This window comes from Homo sapiens, chromosome 12 (genome assembly GCF_000001405.40).
Source record: "Homo sapiens chromosome 12, GRCh38.p14 Primary Assembly".
Classification (NCBI taxonomy): Eukaryota; Metazoa; Chordata; class Mammalia; order Primates; family Hominidae; genus Homo; species Homo sapiens.
Window position 1 is genome coordinate 107,679,285 of NC_000012.12, and position 6,323 is coordinate 107,685,607.

Here is a 6,323-nt window from a genome sequence, read left to right on the forward strand (position 1 = left end):
TTTGTATTTTTAGTAGAGACAAGGTTTCACTGGCCAGCCTGGTCTCAAACTCTTGACCTCAGGTGATCTACCCACCTCGGCCTCCCAAAGTGCCAGGATTACAGGCTTGAGCCACCACGCCTAGCCTTCCTAATGTATTTGAACTTCAGTTTAGAACTCTAATATTATTCATTTATTCAACGAATATTTAGTGACATTTGCTGTGCCAGGCACTCTGCCAGGTGTTGGCAATACTGTGGTAACAAGACTCTCACGGCTCTCGTCCTTGTGAAAATGCCAATTCAGTTCTAGAAAAATCAAGTTTCATTTTTGTACACCTGATTTTGTCACTGTCAAATCTATTCATGGTATAAGTCTCTAGCACTTGGTAAGTGGTAGCTATCATTCCTTCCACTCCTTATCAGCTAATATTGTAGGGTCAGCTAGAGGAGGAGCAAGAAACAGAGCCTCGTGCAATGGGGGAGGAGGGTACCATAGGCTTCATTTCCTTCCCAGCACTCAAGCCCATTTAGAAAAAAATGTTTATGAGCCTCAGTACAGATGACACTGAGCTATAGGGTATAACAAGAGCCTGGCATGGCCCAGGATTCGATCCTCTGGGACCCTTAACTAAGAATAGCCAACGTGCCACCAACGACATTTATTCTGGCCTCTGGCAAAGAGACTTTTCTGACTTAAATATGTTCATCAGTTCCTAAGAATCAGGCTTAGAAACAGAGCTACTTAAGCTCAATCTCTTTCAATTCTCATTATAAGGAATTAATCATACCTGCTGCCATGGGATTTTCATTTTTAAAGGGAATTCACAGCTTGGGCTGAAGTGGCAGAATGTCGGAAATAAGTCCTGTAAAAGAGGCTGAGTTTAGCAAGCCCAAAATAACTGGAGTCCTAGCTTACCTTCTGTTATTTAACTTATTCACTCATTTAACAACTATGATTTATCAAGAGCCCACCCTGCACCAGGCACCATGCTGGTTGTGACAGCAAACCTGACAGGGACTGGGCCATCATGGAGCAGAAGCTGGCTCATGAGAAGGCAACCCACGGGGGCAAAAGACCTAGAGTCAAATACTCAAACCTAAGCCCATTCCCGTATACAAGGTGAGCCCACGTGAGCCTAGCCAGGGGTTAATACATCAGCCTCTGCTAAGAAATCAGTTCATGCGCTCTATTCTAAATACAGCACATTTCTCACCTGCTTTATTATTGCTGCATTAAAAGATGACCTCAAAACTCAGCAATTTAGTACTTACTACCACTAAACTATACTCTTAAAAATGGTTAAGTTCGAGGCTGCAATGAGTTATGATCATGCCACTGCACTCCAACTTGGATGACAGAAATGTAACCAGGCACCCCCATTTTTTAAGAGAATGAGTTATTTTTTAAATTTCATTATTCTTTTCTCTTTTCTCCTTTTCCCCTGTTCCCCACTTCCTACTTAGCTCTTTAGAAATGCCATTATAACGTTTTACCTTCCCTTCACCAGATACTCTCTACAGGGCAAGCTTATCTAACTATGTGCTTAAAAGCTCCAGAGTGGAAATTTCTCCCACCAGGAGCCTGCCTCAAGAGACAACAGTCAATTTACAACCATGGGGTGTCTCCTACAAAACACTCTCTCACCTGGAGAGTATCTGGAGACAAGCGCCATTTTTACAACTTAATTCTGCCCATGAAGCACCAGCTCAACCATCTGGTAGTTAAGGCACTGAAGCAAGTCACATAGGCCCCTACTTGCCTGGCCCCTACTTGCCTGCCCCCTCCCATGCATGCCATTCATGCCACATCCCCCTTTAAAAGCCCCAGCTTTCTGCCCCAGAAGTGAAGTGGTACCTTAAGGCAGGAAGCCTATACTTCTTCCCTTAAGCTAGCTAGCTTTGGAATAAAAAGTCCTTTTTTTTTTTCTTTTTTTTCTGAGACAGAGTCTTGCTTCTTCACCCAGGCTGGAGAGCAATGGTGCGATCTTGGCTCACTGCAACCTCCGCCTCCCAGGTTCAAGCAATTCTCCTGCCTCAGCCTCCCAAGTAGGTGGGATTACAGGCATGTGCCAGCACGCCTGGCTAGTTTTTGTGTATTTAGTAGAGACAGGGTTTCACCGTGTTGACCAGGCTGCTCTCAAACTCCTGACTTCAGGTGATCCACCGGCCTTGGCCTCCCAAAGTGCTGGGATTACAGGCGTGAGCCACTGCACCCGGCCAAAGTTTACTTTTTTTATACCAGACCTCATTCTTGTTATTGGACTCTGCAAGAAGGGAGCACCAAACCTGCAACTCAGGGTTTTCTTTTTTTTACTTTTTATTTTTCTTTTTTGAGACAGGATCTCACTCTGTCACCCAGGCTGGAGTGCAGTGATGCAATCATGGCTTACTGCAGCCTCAACCTCCTGGTCTCAAACAATCCTCCCACCTCAGCCTCCCAAGTAGCTGGTGTTATGGGATCTTTGAGGTGTCGATTTTCTGGCCAGAAACCTCTGTGGCAGGTGGCACCTTTGCCCGAGTTCTTGTCCTGAGTCCAGGACGAATGGGGAACACAGACAAGTGAAGGGTGAACAAGCTGAAGATAAACTTTATTAAGTGTTAGAACAGCTCAGAGAAGACCCACAGTGGGTAGCTCCTCTCTGTAGGTAGGTCGGCCAATCGAGTGTTCAGCTGTCAGCAGACAGGAGGCCCTAGAGAGGGTGGCTCCTCTCTGCTGGCAAGTCGTAGTATCATCTCCAGCTATCAGCAGAGGAGAGCTGCTCTCTGCAGCTGATCCTCCCATAGTCTCAACATCCTCTGCGTCCTCTGCCCTGCTCTGGCCATCCTCTCTCGTGCTCTGGCTGAGACCGGGCTTTTATGGACCTCAGAGGGGAGGAAGTACATGCCGATTGGTCCATGGGTGGCCATTGGCAGCCCAGAAGAGGTACCACGAGTCCCTACTCCCAACCTCGGAACTGGGAGCTGGCCCCCAGCTTTCAGGCCCTCCCTGGTCTGAAGGTCAGGCCTTACTGGGGAACCGCAGCCCAGGAATCTATTTGCCTCCTGATGCCATTCATGGCCCTGGCGCTCATCCCCAAGCCCGCTCCAAGATCTGAGCAGGTTCCAAGAGAGGAGAGAAGTCAGGCAGCAGAAGCAGACAGCCCTGAGTGACAGAGTTGTGGGGGCCCTTCCCGGGCCCCTGAGGGCACAGGCTATATAGATGGCCCAGTCCTGCACCTGAGAGGGCAGCCACAGCTGCACCCTGGGAGTTCCCACCCCGCCAACTTGGGAGGGGCAGGGATCCCACTTGTCCCCAGCTCCTGCCTGCTCTGCGGAGCAGGAGGCCCAGGTCTGCAGCCACTGGTCGGGCGGCTGCAGCTGCACCTGGGAGGGCAGATCCTGCCTGCTCCCGCCACTCCCACCAAGAGCACAGGGAGCCCCAGATCCACAGCTGCAGTTTGGGTGGCTGCTGCCTGCTCTGTAAAGCAGGAGGCCTGGGTCTGCAGCTGCAGTTTGGGTGACTGCAGCAGTACCCCGGGAGCTCCTGCCCCAACTCAGAAGGGGCAGGGCTCCCACTGGCTCCATGGAGCATGCAGCCCCAGCTGTGCCTCCTTGCTGTAGCTGGCATGATGGCAGCAGCTGCTGCCATCACTGGGACCACAGGTGCATACCACCATGCCCAGCTAATTTTTTTATTTGTAGAGACAAGATTTTGCTGTTTTCCAGGTCGGCCTCAAACTCCTGGGCTCAAGTGATCCTCCTGCCTTGGCCTCCCAAAGTGCTGGCCTCTCAAAGGAGGGCAAAGTGGATTTAGGCCGAGCCACGGAGCCCACCCTAAATCTGTCTCTTTTTAAAAATGGCAAATTTTGTGTTATGTATATTTTACTATAATAAAAATTATGGAAGGATTTTTTCTTTTAAAGTTAGTGGTTAGAAACAATCTTTTACTAAGCTCACAAATTCTGGGGGTCAGAAATTTGGGCAGGGCACAGTGGGGATGTCTTGTCTCTGTTCCATGATGGCTGGGTCTCAGCTGAGCAAGCTCAAACGCTGGGAGTGAATCAATGTCTGGGAGCTGGATTCACCTAAAGGCACTTTCATTTACAGGTCTGGGTTAACTCAAAAACTACAACTGTCTACTGGAGTACCACATGTGGTCTCTCCATGTGGTTTGGTTTCCTAACAGCATAGTGGACTCAGGGTAGCTGATATGGTTTGGGATCTGTGTCCTTACCCAAATCTCACCTTGAATTGTCATAATCCCCATGTGTTATAGGAGGGACCCAGTGAGAGGTAATTGAATCATACGGGCGGCGTTTTCCTGTGCTTTTCTCATGATAATAAGTCTCATGAGATCTGATGGTTTTATTAATTAATTAATTTATTTTTATTTATTTTTATTTTTTGAGACAGAGTCTTGATCTGTTGCCCGGGCTGGAGTGCAGCAGTGCGATTTCGGCTTACTGCAACCTCCGCCTCCTGGGTTCAGGTGATTCTCCTGCCTCAGCCTCCCAAGTAGCTGAGACTACAGGTATGCACCACCATGCCCGGCTAAGTTTTATATTTTTAGTAGAGACGGGGTTTCACTACGTTGGCCAGGCTTGTCTAGAACTCCTGACCTTGTAATCCAACTGCCTCGGCCTCCCAAAGTGCTGGGATTACAGGCATGAGCCACTGCACCCAGCTGAGATCTGATAGTTTTATAAAGGGGAGTTCCCCTGCACATGCTCTCTTCTTGCCTGCTGCCATGTAAGACATGCCTTTCTTCTCTTTTGCCTTCTGCAGTGATTGTGAGGCTTCCCCAGCCAACTGAAACTGTGAGTCCATTAAACCTCTTTTTCTTTATAAATTATCATGTCTTGGGTATGTCTTTATTAGCAGTGTGAGAACAGACTACCACAGTAGCCAAACTTTATATGGTGGCTCAGGGCTCCAAACATTAGTGTTCTACTGGTGGGCAGTGGGGGAGTGGGTGGGGGGTGTGGAAGTGGAGAAGTGGGTGTGGTGGTGGGGAAGCAAAACCTGCATCCTATTTATGACTTAACCTTGGAAACATCATTTCTGTCATACTTTATTGGCCAAAGCAGACCTACAACTACCCAGATTCAAGTTGGTGGGGGCGGGGGGGGGTGCTTTGATGGAGGAATATCAAGATCACGTTGCAGACAAACATGTGTGAAGGACTCTATTGTTGCAGCCATCCTTGAAAAATATTATCTGCCATATGGTCTTTCTAAAATGGGTTAAAAGCAAAGAAACCACAGAAGAATCATCTTACAGAAACAGAGCAGGGGGAGAAGTCTTAATGGACAAATAATCTGCCTACACAAACAATGAGCAATTTACTTCTGGGAGGATCTCTCCTCAGGCAGGGAGATTGCCAAGCGCATTAGGCTGAGTAGAGTTGGTGACAGAACTCATAGTTGTATCAGCTCCTCTGTGTGTGATCTGAGTAGGAAAGTATTTGACTACTGGGGACTCTAGCTTCATCTTTAAAACAAAGTGTTGTGAGAACCAAGTAAAATACTGTATAGAAAGATAAATGTGTTGCAAAAAGGTCCCCGAATAGAGCCCACAGGTGGACACCCCCCGTTTGACAATGCCACTGGGAAAGACCATGTGTACTGCCAGTTTATCCTTGCCACTGTTTCCCCATAGCAGCCACCTTCCTGTTTCTTTTGCTTGCCTCTCTCAGAGGTAGATGCATTGAGGGTAAATGACCAGGACAGGGCCACACAGCCAAGAGATCAAAACCCAGATTTTTCTGGGATGCTAGTTTGAGATTTTCCATTCTACAAACGTCCAGCCACTCACGAGTTCTAACAGATGACTGATCTTAGCTGAGAAGCATGACATAGATACAAGGGAGTCACACTGCCCGGGTTCATATCCCAGCTGCACCGCTTACTAGCAGTGTGACCTTTGGAAGGATCGCTGTTTTCCCAGGTGTAAAACGGAAATAAGACCTCCCACAAAGGGGTAAGTAATCACGTGATACGGCACTCAAAACAGCGCCTTCAACATAAGTAAGCCCTTTGTGTTTGCCAAGACTAAATCACTACTGCATAGTTAGTATATAATTGGTGCTAAATGTTTTTTTCTCACTTTTTTTTTTGGTGCTAAATGTTTTAAGGTGAGAAAGTAACATTTAGGGATGTAATGAGATGTAATGGTGGGATCTCCGTGAAACGACAAATTCATTTTGGAGAAAGCTTTTTAAAAAACGCAAACCACAAACCTCTGCCATTTGTCAGCTTGAAGTCTACGGAACTGCAAGCAAAATAAAGATTGGTGAAACTTTGCTTCTGACTGACCCCTACAGTCCCAAATATTTTCTTGGCCTTTACAAAGCCCGCAGGCATC

General features: G+C 47.5%; 1 annotated feature.

Moving 5' to 3' along the window:
* Positions 3,637-3,894: a silencer, noted in NCBI's record as "fragment chr12:108076698-108076955 (GRCh37/hg19 assembly coordinates)". NCBI's record gives its function as "represses an EF-1alpha promoter that drives an FKBP-Casp9 reporter gene in an ReSE screen in K562 erythroleukemia cells {active_cell/tissue: K562}" and the evidence as "EXISTENCE:reporter gene assay evidence [ECO:0000049][PMID:32094911]".